The 21467-nt window shown below is 38.1% G+C and overlaps 2 protein-coding genes and 1 further gene across 2 annotated transcripts in view; all 3 read right to left on the bottom strand.

Annotated features, from left to right (window-relative positions):
- UGT1A10 (UDP glucuronosyltransferase family 1 member A10) overlaps positions 1 to 7501 on the bottom strand; it is a 136853-nt gene extending 129352 nt beyond the window's left edge. Inside the window, exon 1 of the mRNA NM_019075.4 lies at positions 6572 to 7501. Within this exon, the coding sequence (NP_061948.1) occupies positions 6572 to 7426 (855 nt within the window). The 5' untranslated portion in view covers positions 7427 to 7501. The remainder of the gene's footprint in view (positions 1 to 6571) is intronic.
- The window catches only part of UGT1A (UDP glucuronosyltransferase family 1 member A complex locus), a 187861-nt gene that overhangs the window by 129351 nt on the left and 37043 nt on the right, over positions 1 to 21467 (bottom strand).
- UGT1A8 (UDP glucuronosyltransferase family 1 member A8) overlaps positions 1 to 21467 on the bottom strand; it is a 155668-nt gene that overhangs the window by 129352 nt on the left and 4849 nt on the right. The window lies entirely within an intron of this gene.

The raw sequence follows: 21467 nt of genomic DNA, 5'->3' as shown, positions 1-21467 counted from the left end.
AAAAGTGGGGAGGACTTTGTCTTGCATTTAGGAGACCAGCTCAGCCACAGCAGGATAGGGCACTGGTCAGAATCATGAGGCCCCTGTGCCAGGCCCTAGCTTCCAGATGACATTTCTGAACACACCCTGGGCTAGAAGGGAACCTGCTGCCTTAAAAGAAAGGGCCCAGTCCTGCCAGCGTTCATCGCCTGCTAACTGAAGAGACCTTGGAACCTGAATACCAGCAGTGAAACCTCGTACTACGTCAAGGGCCTTGGTGAGCCTCTGAGACTTACTGGCTCTAGGTGAGATTCAGCACATTCCCAGCTGTGATGGCTATGGAGCAAAACTCATTCTGCTTGAGGAAAGCACAAGGAAAGGTAAAGGGGACTTTGCCTTATAACTTAGGTACCAACACTGCTGCAGGGGGATAGAGCATCAAGAGGGCTTTTGGGGTCCCTGATTCCAGGACTTGACTCGGACAGCATTTCTGGAGCTCCCCTGGGATAGAGGGGAGCCCACTGCCTTGAAGGGCAAGTCTCAGGCCAGGCAGCATTCACCACAAGTTGACTTAAGACCTTGGGCCTTAAGGGAACACCAGCAGAAGTCTGGCAGTACTGTCCATGGCCAGGGGTGGCAGTGGCTACAAGGTGAGGCTCCTCTGTCTTTGCAAATAAGAGGGAAGAATGGGAAGGACTGCATCTTGTGGTTTGAGTGCCAGCTCAGCTGCAATACAATAAAATACCAGGTGGAATGCTAAGGTTTTTGACTCTAGTCCCTGACTCCTAGATGGCACTTCTGGACCCACCCAGGGCCTGGGGGACCTTGCCATTCTGAAGGGAGGGATGCAGGTCTGGCTGGCTGTATCACCTGCTGATTGTAAAGCCCAAGGGCGTTGAGCAAACATAGGCAGTAGCCAGGAGGTGGTTACAGCAGGCCTTGGGTGAGACCCAGAGCTGTGCTGGTTTCAGGTCTGATCCAGCACAGTCATAGTGGTGATGGCCACAAGGATGCTTGTGTCACTCCACCCCCAGCTTGAGGTGGCTCAGAACAGAGAGAGAGACAGAGAGAGAGAGAGAGAGTGAGAGAGAGAGAGAGACTCTGTATTTTTGGGAGGAAGTAAGGGAAGAAAGCAAGAGTATGTGCTGGAATCCAGAGAAGTATCTTGGATCTTGTCCAAGACCATCAAGGCAATACATCTACAAGTCTGCAAGAACCACAGCGTTACTAGGCTTGGGGTGCCCCCTAAAGCAGAAACAGCTTAGATTACAACACCTAAGTCCTTTCAAATATCTGGAAAGCCTTTCCAAGAAGGACGGCTACAAATAAGCCCAGACAATGAAGACTACAATAAACACCTAACTCTTCAATGCCCAGACACTGAAGAATGTCTGCTAGCATCAACGCCATTCAGGAAAACCATGACCTCATCAAATGAATTAAATAAGGTGCCAGGGACTAACGCTGGAGAAACAGATATAAGCGACCTTTCAGACAGAGAATTCAAAATAGCTGTGTTGAGGAAACTCAAAGAAATTCCAAATAACACAGAGGAGGAATTCAGAATTCCAGCATATAAATTTAACAAAGAGATTGAAATCATTAGAAAGAATCAAGCAGAAATTCTGGAGCTGAAAAATGCAATCGGCATAATGAAGAATGCATCAAAGTCCTTTAATAGCAGAATGGACCAAACACAAGAAATAATTACTGAGCTTGAAGACAGGCCATTTGAAAATACATGGTCAGAGGAGACAAAAGAAAAAAGAATAAACAACAATGAAGCATGCTTATAGGATCTAGAAAATAGCCTCAAAGGGGCAAATCTAATAGTTATTGCCCATAAAGTGGAGGTAGAGAAAGAGATAGGAGTAGAAAGTTTATTCAAAGGGATAATAACAGAAAACTTTCCAAACCTAGAGAAAGATACCTATATTCAAGTATGAGAAGGCTAGAGAACACCAAGCACATTTAACCCAAAGAAAACTACCTCAAGGCATTTAATAATCAAACTCCCAAAGGTCAAGGATAAAGAAAAGATTCTAAAAGCAGCAAGAGAAGAGATAAATAACAAACAATGGAGTTCCAATACATCTGGCAGCAGCCTTTTCAGTGGAACCCTTACAGGCCAGGAGAGAGTGGCATGACATATTTAAAGTGCTGAAGAAAAAAAAACCTTTTACCCCAGAATAGTATATCTGGTGAAAATATCCTTCAAACAGGAAGGAGAAATAAAGACTTTCCAAGACAAAAGTTGAGGAATTTTATCAATTCCAGACCGATCCTACAAGAAATGCTACAGGGAGTACTTCAATCAGAAAGAAAAGGAAGCTCATGAGCAAGAAGAAATCATCTGAAGGTACAAAACTCACTGGTAATAGTAAGTACACAGAAATACACAGAATATTATAACATTGTAACTGTGTGTGCAAACTACTGTTATCCTACATATAAAGACTAAACAATGAACAAATCAAAAATAATAACTAAACAACTTTTTAAGATATAGGCAGTACAACAAGATATAAATGAAAATCACAAAGAGTTAAAAAGTAGGGAGCAAAGTTAAGACTAGTTTCTATTAGTTTTCTTCTTGCTGTGTGTTTGTTTATGCAAATAGTGTTAAGTTGTTATCAGGTTAAAATAAGGTTTATAAGATAGTATTTGCAAGCCTTATGGTAACTGTCATGGGTGGCAACTCTCTGAGACTGGTGTGGCATGGGAGGTAAAAAGAATTTACCAAGATACTTGTAGGTAAAGAAAGGCAGATTTATTAGAGAAAGTAGGAAAATATGTTGCAAGATAGTCAGCAAGAGAAGAGCTGGCTGCAAGGAGACAAAGGCTTGCTGAGGATTTTATAGGATGGTGCTTGTGCTGCAGAGAGCTAGATGCAGTATTGATAATGCCAAGGTTGCAGTGAGATAACTTGCATTTTTCTATCAGCTGAGGGTCTGGTGATCGCTGGGTGCAGGAAGATTATGTTATTTTTGCAGGAGGGCTATGTGTCCTAGACCATGAAGAAAGGGAGACTTATAGTTCATCTGCTTTTTCTTTTTTGCTTTCCCCTGGTCCTGCCAGCCTAGCTCTTTTTCCCTAATTAGGGCTCCACATTTCCCCCCTGACATAGCAACAATGACAAATCTTTGGCATGTGAGTGAAGGTCTCATCTTCCAACTGCTTCCTACTGACCAAGGGTATAGAGTTGGCCCTACCTAAGATTGTTGGCCTATCAGGAGGTTACATGGACCTAGATCCCTGGGTTGGCCCCTAAATTGGGGAGGGTCACTGTTGGACTATGGAAGAACAGCATTTGCAGCCTAAAAAAGAGACTGTTCTCTCCCATTTGAATGGTCTTGACACCCTCATAAAATTTGGAACTTACTCAATTGACCAAGGATGTATGGGTTTATTTCTGAATTCTCTGTTCCATAGATCAACATAAAAAGATGTTGTATGAGGCAATTGGAGGTAAATTAATTATGGGCTAGAAATGAGATAATATTAAAGTATTATTATTGTGTTAGGTGTGATAACGATATTGTGGCCGTGTAACAAATTTTACTTATTTTTTATATTTAATAAAATATTCAATGATGGAATGACAAGCCAAGAATTTCCACTAAAAAAATGACAGCCAAAAAGTTTCTTTAAAAGGTCAGAATAAGGGGATAGATGAATTAATACAGCAAAACACTGAAAATTATTTAGCCTAAGGATTGATATACAGGTGCACATTACACTATAGTCTTTTCATTTTGTATGTTTGAAAACTTTGAAAATAAATACTTGAAGTAAACAATTTTAGTGGGAGGCCTTAGTCTTGTCAACCAAAAGTTAACTTTGAATTTGGATCTTGGACTATAGCCAGAATCTTAGAGCAATGGGGAAAGCACAGATCTTTTCTTGCTCTGTAACCACATCCTATCCCCAGGTCTGCAGAGCTGCACCTACCATGGATGGTATAGATGAAGCCTGAATTCTTTTCCCCTAAAACCAGTCATCAATTCTGTTGGAACTCACCAAAAATTCAAAGAGACTAAGAGTGACTTCCTCTTTTTCTCATTAAAACTATTTCAATGTTCTGCTGAATTATTTACACATCACTAATCAACACACACACATTAGAATACTGAAATGTAAAAGAATGACCATACCAATTGATATAGTTTAAAAGTTTGTCCCCTCCAAATCCCATGTTGAAATTGGAGATGGGGCCATCTGCCATCATTGTTAAAGTATTTAATTACATCCCTGGCTGTAATTCTCCTGGATAGACTCAAGGAGATTTTGTTACAGGAGATCTTCAAGAAATCCCCTGTGCAGGGTCTGGGACACTGCACGCAAACACACCTGCACATACACAAACACATACATGTGCAAACACATACTCTATCATCAAGTAATGCTTCCTTCTCATCAGACAGATGAGACTCAGACTCTGAATCCTGTTTCCCAGCAAGATGTAACCAACTGCATGCTTTTCCCAGACACATCCTGGCATCTGAAACAAGGAAAGAGCAATATGCAGTGTTCATCGTTCTTTTGATGACAATTTACTTTTACTTTTGTGGTTGGGCCATATCCAAGGCTCTTTGACAGAAAGCCCTCTTTGAGATCGAATTCCTCTGTGAGAATTCTGCTGCCTTTACAGGTATAATCATAAAAATATACATTAATATACATAACCCTCTGCAAACTATAAAAACTTTCATACATGTGTATATTCTTTAATAGATATAGAAACACATTTATTTCATATCTCATAAAAGATATTTACAATCAAAATAAATGAAACCATATATAGTTTAATGTTTCATTTTTTATAGATATCCCTCTATCACAGGTGATATAAAATCATATATAGGTTTTTATATCTTTAAAGGCCTCTAGGTGACCCTGTGAGCCACAATAAACTCAGCGTGGGTTCAGGAAGTGGCAGATCCTCAACTCGGCCGAAGGCTGTGGGGTGTAGGCAACACATGGGTGGTGCTTGGTACTGTAATTAATGGAGGATAACGAGGAGAAAAGTGCTTTGATAAGTCCAACCTCTTAGAGTCCTGCAACTTGCATCTCCTCGCCTGGTCTTGCCATGAGCTGAAAGTCATGCCTAATTTTGAAAGGCCTACAACTGTAGTCTTCCTGCTTTTTAGAAAGAGCATTATTTCACTTTCCTATGAGATGGCTGAACGGTCACTCTTTCACCAACCATCTGCCAATGACAGATATAACTGTGTTACAAAGTCTACTGAATCTTGTAAGAAACCAGAACAATACATAAAAATGTGTACTCCACCCCTAATAAAATAATATAATGAGATGAGACACCAGGTGTTTCATCTGGATTTAGCAACTATGCGTTTGCCAAGAATCTTATTCTGGTATTTTTCAAGGATTTTTCAGTCACAAGCAACCGAATCCCTATTTAAACTGGCTACTCTAACAATATTACTCAATAATATTTTGGAAGTATATGCTCCAGCAAAGCAAAAGAAGCAGTACAAATATCAGACAAGGGAATTACTTGCAGATGGTATTGTATATTGTACATCTAATGCATACTACAAAATAATAAGAAAAGTTAGTGATGTGGCTGGATACAAGATACATATGCAAAAACCAAAATTTTAATTACCAGTAATCAGTTAAATGTAGAAATGGAAACATTGCCCTGTACAAAATAGTTTCTAAAGTAATAAAATGCCAAGGAATAAATGTTAAAAACAAACATAAAATGCTTATATAGTGAAAATTTTTATTTATGTATATAAAACAAGATCTGAATAAATAGTGAGACATATATGTTCCTGAACAGGAAGACTTAATAGCAAAAAGATGCCAGTCTTCTCAATTCAGGAAAACCCTGTAACCCTACGTGTAGGACTCTAGTCTACTAAGATAAAAGCAAGAATATAGAAATATATTCACGCAAGGAAAGTATTGAAGAGTGTTTACACAGCCTTATTCACAAAAGGAAAGAGTGGAAAATGGCTATATATATATCAATATTAATTGGTTAAAAAACTACATTGTATCCAAAGTAAAGAATTTTATGCAATTATTAAAAGAACTTGTCAAATCTGTCTGTATTGCTCTATAAAGGTACCCATAATTTATTGGCAAGTGAAAAATGCAAGATAAAGAAGAATATGTTCAGCCCAATACTAGATTTTATTTTTACTAAATAGGTATGGGAACTTACATGAGATATTGCATATGCCTAAAATACTTTTTTTCAATGAAAAGAATGTACACAAAACTTAAGAGCATTTCAACTACGGGGTCACATAGAATTAACAAAAAACGGAAGTTTCATTTCTTGCTGTGGTTTTTGGTACTTTTCTAAACATCGTATTTTAAAATGTAGCCTGAATATGATCTATAATTTTTAAATTATTACATATACTTTCAAGAAGGGCAGTTTTATAAAATTTGATAATTGATGAGTACATGAATTCGCACAAAATAATTTGTTAAACTGGAAAGAAATTTGAAATGCAACAAACGAAAATGTCAAATCACAGTTCAGTAAGGAATCCTTTTTTAATTTCCAAAGCCAGATTATTCTTAATGTGCTAAAGGAGAGGTGACTTACCATAGGCAATGGCTTTCCCTGATGACAGTTGATACCACCAATGAAGATCATGTTGGGCATCACGGGTTTGGGATAGTCCAAAACAAAGTCCGTTCGCAACAACCAAATTGATGTGTGACTGTAGAGATCATATGCCGTGACAGGGGTTTGGAGAATTTCAGAGGCTATTTCTAGGGCATTTCTAAAAAGATACTGGCAAAATAAATGGTCCTCCAAGTGCACGATGTGGTTCCATACTCTCTCCTTGAAAGTCATGGCATCTGAGAACCCTAAGAGATCATTGGGGACATAGGAAAGAGGAGCAGGGCACTGTGCACCTTCTTCAAGATGGTGGCAAAATATTCCCCTGGTGAAGACCACAGAGGGGAGGGAGAAATATTTAGCAACAATTAAGCCACAGGTATCAAAAGGATCCAGAAACACTGCATCAAAAGAACTCTCCTTTAAGTATTCTACTAATTTTCGGTCATTAAACAAACTCCTGCAATGCGAAAAAAATAAGTCAAGAAAACCACTGGATGAACTCATTAATAGAGAAAATATACTTTGTGCCTGTGCTTTCCATTGAGCATGGGCGAAAACCATGAATTCCCGGTTCTGATCTTCCAGAGTGTACGAGGTTGAGTAAGTCTTCACTGTGCAATTCAGTGATCTTTCCAGTTGCCAACTCACCTCTGGCATGACTACAACCACCTCATGCCCCCTGAGGATAAGTTTCTCCACCACCGACTGCATGGTGAACCAGTGACTCCCATCCATGGGCACTACCAGCAGCTTCCCTGCCTCGGCAAAGCCACAGGTCAGCAGTAGACACACACATAAAGGAACGGGGCTGGTCCACCCTGCGCGAGCCATGAGAGAACTGCAGCCCGAGCCAGCAGCTGGGATTCTAAGCTGCTATGATACAGTAGGCGGAAGAAGTACAGGCACAAAACCTGACCCCAATAGAGGGCGTGTATTTATCCTTTCATAAAAAAAAAAAAATCACACTCACTGCCAATGATTTACTCATAAGAACGATAACACACGAGTATCATTTGCTGAGATACCTACTTGTATGATTTCCAGACAAGAGTAGATTATGGTCTTCGCCTTGGAGGGAGAGCACGCTGCAAGTGAGTTTAGAAACAGAATTATTCAGCAATGCTTTTGGACCTTGAAGATTCGGAAAGATAAAGTGAAAGTAAATTTGAATAATGCTAATATTTTTGGAATTTATCCCAAAGCAAAATTTAGATTTTGACTTTAGCCAACCAAATACTCTCTGTCCAGAAAGAAATTGGCATCTCATGTTCCAGGGAAAGACAGCAAGGCTCTTAGCACTGACCTCCCAACTGGCAAGAAACTGGGGCTCACCTGCATCTCTGCAATGCATAATCATTGCTGGTTGTCTTCTTCCATATCCAAACCCTGAGAGGCCTCTGAAATGCCAAAATGAGATTGACAACCCTGCCTCCATGGACCATACCAGGGACTTGATGGAAAGTGACCATCACCTATTTTAATGACTTTCCTCAGATACGTTGCATGCAGTGGGGAGTTGCTGGCCCAGTCCTTGTGCGAACACTCTGCTGGGCTGCCTCTCTGTGACTGCTCTACTTCTATATTCTAAACACACCATCACTCCAGTGACCTCTTTCAGGAAAATATGTACTTGTCTCCCTCAGTCTGCTGAGGACTCCTGGAAGTCAGAGGTGATGCCATCTCTGTGTTTTTACCCTTCTTTCACAGTAGCCATGCTTTGCCTTTGACGTAGTTTGTATGTTTGTCCCCTCCATATATCATGGTCAAATATAATCCCCAGTGTTGGAGATGAAGCATGGTGGGAGGTGTTTGGGTCATGGGCATGGATCCCTCATGAATGGCTTGGCACTGCCCTCCCAATTGTGAGTGATTTCTCATGAGATTTGATTGTTTAAAAGTATACGACAGTACATGTATCCCAGATCTCTTAAAGTATAATTTTTTAAAAAATGCCAAAAACCCTCTTCAGGATATTATTCAGGAGAACTTCCCCAGCCTAGCAAGACAGGCCAACATTCAAATTCAGGAAACACAGAGAACACCATAAAGATACTCCTCGAGAAAAGCAACTCCAAGACACATAATCATCAGATTCACCAACGTTGAAATGAAGGAAAAATGTTAAGGGCAGCCAGAGAGAAAGGTCCTGTTACACACGAAAAGAAGTTCATCAGACTAACAGCAGACCTCTCTTTAGAGACCCAACAAACCAGAAGACAGTGGGGACCAAAACTCAACATTCCTAAAGGAAAGAATTTTCAATCCAGAATTTCATATCCAGCCAAACTAAGCTTCATAAGTGAAAGAGAAATAAAATCCTTTACAGACAAGCAAATGCTGAGAGATTTTGTCACCACCAGGCCTGCCTTACAAGAGCTCCTGAAGGAAGCACTAAATATGGAAAGAAAAAACCGGTACCAGCCACTGCACAAACATACCCAATTGTCAGGACAATTGACACTATAAAGAAACTGCATCAACTAGTAGGCAAAATAAACAGCTAGCATCATAATGACAGGATCAAGTTCACACATAACAATATTAATCTTAAATGTAAATGGGCTAAATGCCCCAATTAAAAGACACAGACTGGCAAATTGGATAAACAGTCAAGACCCATCAGTGTGCTGCATTCAGAAGACCCATTTCACGTGTAAAGACATATAGGCTCAAAATAAAGGGATAGAGGAATATTTACCAAGCATATGGAAAGCAAAAAAAATCAGGGGTTGCAATCTAGTCTCTGATAAAAACAGACTTTAAATCAACAGAGATCAAAAAAGACAAAGAAGGGCATTATATAATGGTAAAGGGATCAATGTAACAAGAAGAGCTAACCATCCTAAATATATATGCGCCCAATACAGGAGCACCCATAAAGCAAGTTCTTAGAGACCTACAAAGAGACTTAGGCTCCCATACAATAATAGTGGGAGACTTTAACACTCCATTGTCAATATTAGACAGATCAACGAGACAGAAAATTCACAAGGAAATTCAGGACTTGAACTCAGTTCTGGACCAAGCAAACCTAATACACATGTATAGAACTCTCCAACCCAAATCAACAGAATATATATTCTTCTCAGCACCACATTGCACTTATTCTAAAATTGACCACATAATTGGAAGCAAAACACTCCTCAGAAAATGCAAAAGAACAGAAATCATAACAAACAGTCTCTTAGATCACAGTGCAATCAAATTAGAACTCGGGATTAAGAAACTCACTCAAAACTGCACAACTACATGGAAACTGAACAACCTGCTCATGCATTACTACTGGGTAAATAATGAAATTAAGGCAGAAATAAATAAGTTCTTTGAAACCAATGAGAACAAAGACACAACCTACCAGAATCTCTGGGACACAGCTAAATCTATGTTCAGAGGGAAATTTATAGCACTAAATGCCCACAGGAGAAAGCAGGAAAGATCTAAAATCAAAACCATAACATCACAATTAAAAGAACTAGAGAAGCAAGAGCAAACAAATTCAAAAGCTAGCAGAAGACAAGAAAAAACTAAGATCAGAGCAGAACTGAAGGAGATAGAGACACAAAAAACCCTTCAAAAAATCAATGAATCCAGGAGCTGGTTTTTTGAAAAGATTAACAAAATAGATAGACCACTAGCCAGACTAATAAAGAAGAAAAGAGAGAAGAATCAATAGACACAATAAAAAATGATAAAGGGGAGATAACCACTGAGCCCACAGAAATACAAACTACCATCAGAGAATACTATCAACACCTCTACACAAATAAACTAGACATTCTAGGAGAAATGGATAAATTCCTGGACACGTATATCCTCCCAAGACTAAACCAGGAAGAAGCAGAATTCCTGAATAGACCAATAACAGGTTTTGAAATTGAGGCAGTAATTAATAGCCTACCCACCAAAAACACCCAGGACCAGATGAGTTCACAGCCGAACTCTACCAGAGGTACAAAGAGGGCCTGGTATCATTCCTTCTGAAACTATTCCAAACAATAGAAAAAGAGGGACTCCTCCATAACTCATTTTATGAGGCCAGCATCATCCTGATACCAGGATGTGGCAGAGACACAACAACCAAAAAAATTTCAGGCCAATATCTCTGATGAACATCGATGGCAAATATCCTCAATAAAGTACTGGCAAACTGAGTCCAGTAGTACATCAAAAAGCTTATCCACCATGATCAAGTCGGCTTCATCCCTGGGATGCAAGGCTGGTCCAACATACACAAATCAATAAACATAATCCATCACATAAACAGAACCAATGACAAAAACCACATGATTACATCAATAAAATTCAACAGCACTTCATGCCAAAAATTCTTGATGAACTAGTTATTGATGGAACGTATCTCAAAATAATAAAAGTTATTTATGACAAACCGACAGCCAATATCATACTGAATGGGCAAAAGCTGGAAGCATTCCCTTTGAAAACTGGCACAAGATAAGGATGCCCTCTCTCACCACTCCTATTCAACATAGTATTGGAAGTTCTGGCCAGGGCAATCAAGCAAGAGAAAGAAATACAGGGTATTCAAATAGGAAGAGAGAAAGTCAAATTGTCTCTGTTTGCAGATGACATGATTGTATATTTAGAAAACCCCATCATCTCAGTCCAAAAACTCCTTAAGCTGATAAGCAACTTCAGAAAAGTCTCAGGTTACAAAATCAATATGCAAAAATCACAAGCATTCCTATACACCAATAATGGAAAAACAGAGAGCCAAATTGTAAACTCCCATTCACAATTGCTACAAAAAGAATAAAATACCTAGGAATACAACTTACAAGGGATGGGAAAGACCTCTTCAAGGAGAACTACAAACCACTGCTCAAGTAAATAAGAGAGGACACAAACAAATGGAAAATCATTCCATGCTCATGGATAGGAAGAATCAATATTGTGAAAATGGCCGTACTGCTGAAGGTAATTTATAGATTGAATGCTATCCACATCAAGCTACCATTGACTTTCTTCACAGAATAGGAAAAAACTACTTTAAAGTTCATACGGAGCTAAAAAATAGCCTGTATATCCAAGACAATCCTAAGCAAAAAGAACAAAGCTGGAGGCATCATGCTACCTGACTTCAAATTATACTACAAGGCTACAGTAACAAAAACAGCATGGTACTTGTACCCAAACAGATATATAGACCAATGGAACTGAACAGAGGCCTCAGAAATTATGCCACACATCTACAACCATCTGACCTTTGACAAACCTGACAAAAACAAGAAATGGGGCAAGGATTTCCTATGTAATAAATGGTGTTGGGAAAACTGGCTAGCCATATGTAGAAAACTGAATCTGGACCCCTTCCTTACACCTTATACAAAAATTAACTCAAGATGGATTAAAGACTTAAACATAAGACCTAAAACCATGAAAACTCTAGAAAAAAACCTAGGCAATACCATTCAGGAAATAGGCATGGGCAAAGACTTCATAACTAAAACACCAAAAGCAATGACAACCAAAAGCCAAAATTGAGAAATGGGATCTAATTAAACTAAACAGCTTCTGCACAGCAAAAGAAACTATCATCAGACTGAACAGGCAACTTACAGAATGGGAGAAAAATTTTGCAATCTATCCATCTGACAAAGGGCTAATATCCTGAATCTACAAGGAACTTAAACCAATTTACAAGAAAAAAAAACCCCATCAAAAAGCGGTCGAAGGATATGAACAGACACTTCACAAAAGAAGACATTTATACAACCAACAAGCATATCAAAAAAAGCCGATCATCACTGGTCATTAGAGAAATGCAAATCAAAACCACAATGAGATACCATCTCATGCCAGTTAGAATGGCAATCATTAAAACTCAGGAAAGAACGTATGCTGGAGAGGATGTGGAGAAATAGGAACGCTTTTATGCTGTTGGTGGGAGTGTAAATTAGTTCAACCATTGTGGAAGACAGTGTGGCGATTCATCAAGGATCTAGAACCAGAAATACCATTTGACCCAGCAATCCCATTACTAGGTATATACCCAAAGGATTATAAATCATTCTATTATAAAGCACATGCACATGTATTTTATTGCAGCACTATTCACAATAGCAAAGACTTGGAACCAACTCAAATGCCCATCAATGATAGCCTGGATAAAGAAAATGTGGCACATATACACCATGGAATACTATGCAGCCATTAAAAAGGATGCATTCATGTCTTTTGCAGGGACATGGATGAAGCTGGAAACTATCATTCTTAGCAAACTAACACAAGAACAGAGAACAAAACACTGCATGTTGGAGTTGGAGTTGCAAGTAGGAGTTGGACAATGAGAACACATGGACACAGGGAGGGGAACATCACACACCAGGGCCTGTCGGGGGGTGAGGGCCTAGGGGAGGGAAAGCATTAGGAGAAATACCTAATGTAGATGAAGGAATGATGGGTGCAGCAAACCACCATGGCACGTGTATACCTATGTAACAAACCTGCATGTTCTGCACATGTATCCTAGAACTTAAAGTATAAAAAAAAAAAAAGAGTTTTAGAGCAGGAAAAAAAAAAAAGTATGTGCTACCATGGCATATGTTTACCTATGTAACAAACCTGAACATCTTCCACATGTACCCCAGAAATAAAAATAAAAATTAAAATAAAAAAGTATGTGCCATCTCCCCTGTCTCTCTCTTGCTCCTGCTCTTGCCATGTGACATGCCAGCTCTCCATCACCTTCTGTCATGATTGTAAGCTTCCTGAGGCCTCACCAGAAGCAGATGCTAGCACCATGTTTCATATAAAGTCTGCCAAACTGTGAGCCAATTAAACCTCTTTTCTTTATAAATTACCCAGCCTCAGGTATCCTTTACAGCAATCCAAACAGACAAATGCAGCCCTGCACAAAGAAAATCAACCAGAATATTTGTTGCACTGGACAGAATTATATTCTGCAGGTTTTCTTGATACCTTCATGGATGAGCTAAGCAGTGTGTGTCAGGCAACACCTTAAGGAACATTTAGTGAGAGATTCTGCAGACAACCTCGGGGTATAATCCTTGTAGGAGCACAAGATGGCTCCTTTCGGGACACCCTAACTGGTACTAGACATTTGCTTAGTCACCTTTTCTTTTGGTGACTGGGGCACTTGCAGATGACTGTCCTTGAAAAATAAACATGATGGTCAGTGATCTACCTCCCCTGGAGGCTTACTTCAGAACAGAAATCAATGAAATGGAAAATGCATTTAAAAAACAGGCAAAATTAATGAAACCAAAGCTGGTTTGTTGAGAAAATTAATGAAACCAAAGCTGATTTGTTGAGATCAATTAATTTGGTAAAGCTCTAGCCACCTTGATCTGAAAAAAAAAGAGAGAAGAAAGAAATTATCAATATTAGGAATGAGAGAGGTGGTATCACCATAGATTCTACAGATGTTAAAATGTTAAGAGAATAACATGAACAAGTTTATGCCAAAAAAAAGTCTACAACTTAGATAGAATGGACACATTTTGTTAAAGACACAAACTGCCAGACTTGTCACAAGAATAAATGCATAACCCCAATAGAAGTAACCTGTATCTTTTAAATTGAATTTGTATTTGTAATTCAAACCTTCCCACACAAAACAAAGTGAAGCTCAGATGACAACACTGATGAATCCAGCAAACATTGAAGAATAAATAATACCAATTATTCACAAACTAGTCCCAAAAACTGAAGCCTAGGGGATTTCCTAATTCATTTTATGAGACCAGCATTATCACAGTACCAAAACCAGAAAAAGACATTAAAAGATAGGAAAATTACAGACCCTCATGAGCTTAGATGCAAAAATTTTAAACAAAATATTGGCAAGTCAAAGTCTGTAATATTTTAAAATAGGTACTACACAAAAAGATTAGACACCATAACCAAGTGGGGTTTATCCTAGGAATGCAAGGCTGGTTTGACATTAGAAAATTAATCAAGGTTGTGCCACCATGTTCATAGCAGCATAACTCACAACAGACAAGAAGTGGAAACAACCCAAGCAAAAATGTGGTGTATGTATACAGCATGAAATATTATTCACCCTTAGAAAGGAAGAAAATTCTGACATATGCTAACATGAATGAAACTTAAGGGCATTGTGCAGAGTGAACTAAGCTAATCACAAAATGACAAATGCTGTATGATTCTACTTATATGAAGTATCTAAAATAGTCAGATACGTAGAATAAAAGAGTGGAATGCTGGTTGGCAAGGGCTGAGAGGAGGGGGGAATGGAGTATTCTTTTTTAATGGGTCCAAAGTTTCAGTTTGGGAAGATGAAGCGAGTTCTAGAGATGAATGGTGGTGTTGGTTGCACAGCAATGTGAACGTACTCAATACTGAACTGTGCACCTAAAGTGATGAAGATGATATATTTTATGCTATGTGTTTTCACCACAATTAATGATTAAATAAATAATTTTATAAATCAATTAAAGTAACATACCATATAAATAAACTAAAAAAGTATAAGCATATAATTATCTCAATAGGTATGGAAAAAGTGTTTGACAAAAATCCAAAATCGATTTGTGATAAAAAATTCTCAACAAACTCGGAAAATAAAGGGAAGTATCTTAAACTAATGAAGGACATCTTGGAGGCACCCACAGTTAATATCATCCTTGATGGTGAAAGACTGAATGCTCCACTCCTCAAGGCAAACACATGCCGAGGACAGGGGCCCTCCCCACTTCTACTCAACATTGTTCTTCAGGTTCCAGCCAGTGCAGTCAGGGAGGAAATAGAAGTAAAAAGTGTCCAGATTGTAAAGAAAAAATAAAAAAGGTCTCATTCACAGACAATAAGTTTATCTATGTAGGAATAATAACAAACTACAAAAATCTCCTAGAACAAATACGTAAGTTTAGCATGGTTGCAAGATACAATACTTAAAAACTAATCTTCTTTCTATATACAGTTGACATTGAACAGTAGGGTTTTGAGCTGTGTGGATCCACTTATATGCAGATTTTTAAAAATAAATATATTGCAAAAATTTTAAGAAATTTCTAACAGTTTGAAAAAATATATATATAAACCACATAAACTAGAAATATCTAAAAATTTTTAAAGCTATGCCATGACTGCAGAAACCATGTGCAGATACCATGTTATTATTTATTACTTTAAAATATGCACAAATCAATAAAAAATTTATTAAACCACACACAAACATTTCCAAAGTGTACATTGCATCATTAGCACAGGAAAGAAATACAAACATATAGAGGCAGCATTAAATCTTAACTGCATAAAATTACCTATAGTATATACTACACTACTGTAATAATTTTGTAGCTACCTCCTGTTGCTATTCCAGTGAGCTGAAGTGTGGCTTAAGTGCATGTGATATAACATTTATACTCTCTGTTTGAGCATTTCATCTCTCCAATAAATTGCATGTCAGAGTAAAAAGTGATCTCTCATGGCTCTACTGTATTTTTCATCATGTTTGGTGCAATATTGTAAATCTTGAATACAGTCATGGGACTACAGAGTGCCCCTAATGATGCTGGAATTACTCCCAAGAAGCAAAAAGAAATCATGACATAACCAAAAAAGTCGAATTGCTTGATTGGGACCATAGGCTGAGCTCTACCGTGGTGAATGCCTGCCATTTCAAAATAAATGAAGCTAGATAAGGACCAGTGGAAAAGAAAGAAAGAAAGAAGGAAGGAAGGAAGGAAGGAAGGAAGGAAGGAAGGAAGGAAGGAAGGAAGGAAGAAAGGAAGGAAGGAAGGGAGATTCATGAAGACATTGCTGCAGCTATGCCAGCAGGAGCCAAACCTTGCATTTTTTTCTGAAATACGTTTTTGTCTCATATTGAAAATGCAGCTTTAACGTGGGTGTAGCATTGCTATAAGAAAGGCGTATTTATAGATGCCAATGTGATTTGAGAAAATGCAAAGTCATTATATGACAACTTAAAGCAAAAGAGAGGTGAAGAATCTAAAACTGGAAAATTTAATGGCAGCAAAGGATGGTTTGCTAGTTTTAGAAAGGGGTTCAGCTTTAAAATTGTCAAGATAACAGGAGAAGCAGCCTCTGCCAAGCAAAAGGAGACAAATGAGTTCCCAGATGCCATGAAGATAATTATTGAGGGGAAAGCATATCTGCCTGAACAGGGTTTTAATACAGATGACAGTGCCCTATTCTGGAAAAAAACAAAAACAAAAACAAGATGACACAAAAGACATTTATTAGCAAGGAAGTAAACCAAGCACCAGAATGCAAGGCAGGAAGGGATAGGCTAACTCTACTGTTTTGTGTAAATGCAGTCAAGTTTACACTCAGGACTGACCTCATGTGTAGAACTGCCAAACCTTAAGCCTTGAGGGGACAAGATCAACACCCACTGACAGTTTTTTGGTTGTACAACAAGAAGGCCTAGACAACAAGAACACTTTTTCTGGATTGGTTCCATCAACGCTTTGTCCCTGAAGGCAGAAAATGCATTGCCAGTAAGGGACTGTCTTTTAAAATTCTTTTGATATTGGACAATGCTAGCCACCCAGAATCCATGAGTTCAACACTGAAGGTGTCAAAGTGGTCTACCTGCTTCCAAACCCAACATCTCTAATTCAGTCTCTCAATCAGGGGTCATAAGGAACTTTAGAACTCATTACACACAGTTTTCTATGGAAAAGATTGTCAATACTAGGAAAGAGAATCTGGATAGAGAATGTCATGAAAGTCCAGAAGGATTACACCATTGAAGATGCCATTGTTGTTATAGACAGAGCTGTGAAAGCCACCAAGCCCCAAACAATTCATTTCTTCTGGAGAAAACTGTGACCAGATGTTGCGAATGACTTCACAGGATTTAAGACAGAGCCAATCAAGGAAGTCATGAAAGGGATTATGGATACAGCAACATAAGGTGGGGGATAAAGTGTTTCAAAATATGAATCTTGGAGAAATTCAAGAGTCAATAGACACCACACTCGAGGAATTAATAGATGACCTGATAGAGATTAGTGCTTTCCAATCACTACTTGATGAGAAAGAAGATGTAGAAGAAGCAGTGCCAGAAAAAAAAAATGGCCTTACACAATACAAGCCTCATGGAAAGGCTTCCAGTTATTTAAGACTGCTATTGACTTCTATTACAACATGAACCCTTATGGGCACTGAAACTAAAGCAAATGGGGAAGAAGGATTAGTACTGTATAAAAGCATTTTTAAATACATCAAAGAGAAAAAAACAGACAGTAATTATGATGTATTTCCATAAATTTACACCAAGTGCACCTGCCTCTCCTGCCTCCACTTCCACCTCCTCTACCTCTTCTGCTTCTGCCACCCTAAGACAGTAAGACCAACATCTACTCCTCCTCCTCCACAGCCCACTCAATGGAAGATGATGAGGATGGAGACCTTTATGATGAATGACTTCCTCTTATACATACTCAACTTTTATTTTAGATTCAGGAGTACATGTGCAGGTTACCTGAGTATATTGTGTGATGCTGATGTTTGGGGCATGATTGCTCCCATCACCCAAGTACTGAGCATATTACCCAATAGTTTTTCAACTCCTGCATCCCTTCCTCTCCCCTTTAGTAGTCCATAGTGTCTATTGTTGCCATCTTTATGCCCATGAGTACCCACTATTTAGCTCCCACTTCTAAGTGAGAACACATGGTATTTGGTGTTCTGTGCCTGTATATATTCCCTTAGGATAATGACCTCCAGCTGCATCCATGTTGTTACAAAGGACATGATTTCATTCTTTTTTTATGACTGCATATTCCATGGTGTATATGTACCACATTTTCTTCATCCAATCCACTATTGACAGGCACCTAGGTTGATTTCATGCCTTTTCTATTCTGAATAGAGCTGCAATGAACATACCAGTGCATGTGTTTCTTGGTAAAATGATTTTTTTAATATATATATCCAGTAATGTAATGAGATTGCTGGGTCGAATGACAGTTCTGTTTTAACTTCTTTGTCAAATCTCCAAACTACTTCCCACAGGGGATGATCTAATTTGCGTTCCCACCACCAACAGTGTACAAGTGGTCCTTTTTCTCAGCAGCTTCACAAGCATCTATTGTTTCTTGACTTTTTAATAACAGCCATTCTAACTGGTGTGAGATGATATCTCATTGTGGTTTTGACTTTCATTTCTCTGATGATTAGTGATGTTGGGCATTTTTTCATATGTTATGTTTTTAAATAACATTTTCCTTTCTCTAGTTTGCTTTATTGTAATAATACAGGATATAATACTAATAACATCCAAAATATGTGTTAATTGACTGTTTATACTATTGGTAAGGCTTTTGGTAAATGGTTGTTAGTAGTTATGTTTTTCGAGAATCAAAAGATCTGTGTGGATTTTCTACTTCACACGGGTTGGTCCCCTTCATTCCCACATTGTTCAGGGGTCAACTATACTAGCAATGAACAATTAAAAATTGGAATAAAAATATCACTTAAATAGCATCAAAAACATGAAATACTTAGGAATATATCTGACAAAAATTATGAAAGACTGTACACTGAAAACTACAGAACACTGATGAGGCACTTAACATAGATATGTTAATGAATTGGAAAATTCAAAATTGCTAAGATGTTGTTTCTCCCCAGTTGATCTATAAATTCAATACAATCCCAATCAAAATCAAACTAACAAACTTATTCTAAAATCCATGTGGTAATGTAGCAGACCTACAATAGCAAAAACAATTTGAAAAAAATAGGTAACACTACCTCATTTCAAGATTATTACACAGCTATAGTAATCAAATATTTCACAAATATTTCAATGGAGCAGAATACAAAGTCTAGAAATACATGCACAGATGTATGAACAGCCAAGTTTTTACAAAGGTACAAGAAGTGCATTGGAGGAAAGGCCACTCTTTTCTACAGTTGAATATTCACATGCAAGAAAACAAGAAAAGACCTCCGCATCTTCCTACTAAAAACCTATAACCCCAGTTTAACCATGATAAAAATGTCAGGCAAACACACACTGACATTCTAGAGGAACATTCTACAGGACACCTGACCAGGACTGCTCAAAACTGCCCAAGTCACCAAAAACAAGGAAAGTCTGAGAAACTGTCACAGGCTGGAGGAGACTAAGGAGACATGATGACTACATTTCAGGTGGTATCAATGGGATCCCATAAAAGAACAGGGATATTAAGTAAAAATCAATGAAATCTGAAGGAAACAGACTTTAGCTCATCATAATGTGTCATATTGGTGAATGAGTTGTGATGGATGTGCCATAGAAACATAACATTTAACAATGGGGGAAACCGGGTACAGGGTAGATAAGAATTCTCTGAACTATTTGTTGCAACCTTGCTATAAACCTCTATTTATTCTAAAATAAAGTATTTGTAAGAAAAGTCACTCAACGGACTGTGAGAAAATATTTGCAGGACCCCTGTGGATGCACATGGTGAAGGATTCATCAGAGGCATGATGGGAGCTGTCTGGATGATCTCTGCAAATGGTCTTGGAGTCTGATGCTGGAGATTAAGGACCCCAGGGTGGGTCTTCTGTTGAAGAGACTATTCTTTCCCATTTGAATGATCTTGACACCCTTATCAAAATTTGACATCTTGTCAATTGGCCAAGAACGTATGGGTTTATTTCTGAATTCTCCATTCTATTCCATTGATCTACATGGAAAGATGTTGTTCAAGAAAATGGGGGAAATTTAATTATGAACTGGAAATGAGATAATATTAAAAAATTTTTACTGTCATAGATATGATAATGATATTGTGGCTATGTAACAAATGTTTCTTATTTTTTATATTTAATTAAGTATTCGGTGATGGAATGACATGCCAAGAATTTCTTTTTAAAATGACTAGATGGCATTCACAATTACTACAAAGAGAATAAAACACCTAGGAATCCAACTTACAAAGGATGCGAAGACCTCTTCAAGGAGAACTACAAACCACTGTTCAACAAAATAAAAGAGGACACAAAGAAATGGAAGAACATTCCATGCTCATGGATAGGAAGAATCAATATCACAAAAATGGCCATACTGCCCAAGGTAATTTATAGATTCAATGCTATCCCCATCAAGCCACCATTGACTTTCTTCACAGAATTGGAAAAAACTACTTTAAATTTCATATGGAACTAAAAAAGAGCCCATATAGCCAAGACAATCCTAAGCAAAAAGAACAAAGCTGGAGGCATCATGCTACCTGACTTCAAACTAAATCACAAGGCTACAGTAACCAAAACAGCATCGTATTGGTACCCAGACAGATATATAGACCAATGGAACAGAACAGAGGTCTCAGGAATAACACCACATATCTACAACCTTCTGATCTTTGACAAACCTGACAAAAACAAGAAATGGGGAAAATATTCCTTATTTAATAAATGGTGCTGGGAAAACTGGCTAGCCATATGTAGAAAGCTGAAACTGGATCCCTTCTTACACCTTATAGAAAAATTAACTCAAGATGGATTAAAGATTTAAATGTAAGACCTAAAACCATAAAAACCCTAGAAGAAAACCTAGGCAATACCATTCAGGACATAGGCATGGGCAAAGACTTCATGACTAAAACACCAAAAGCAATGGCAACAAAAGCCAAAATTGACAAATGGGATCTAATTAAACCAAAGAGCTTCTGCACAGCAAAAGAAACTATCATCAGAGTGAAAAGGCAACCTATGAAATGGGAGAACATTTTTGCAATCTATCCACCTGACAAAGGGCTCATATCCAGAATCTACAAAGAACTCAAAAAAATTTACAAGAATAAAACAACCCCATCAAAAGTGGGCAAAGGATATGAACAGGCACTTCTCAAAAGAAGACATTTATGCAGCCAACAGACATATGAAAAAATGCTCATCATCA

The sequence above is a fragment of the Homo sapiens genome, chromosome 2 (genome assembly GCF_000001405.40).
Source record: "Homo sapiens chromosome 2, GRCh38.p14 Primary Assembly".
Classification (NCBI taxonomy): Eukaryota; Metazoa; Chordata; class Mammalia; order Primates; family Hominidae; genus Homo; species Homo sapiens.
This window is presented reverse-complemented; position numbering and strand designations above follow the sequence as displayed.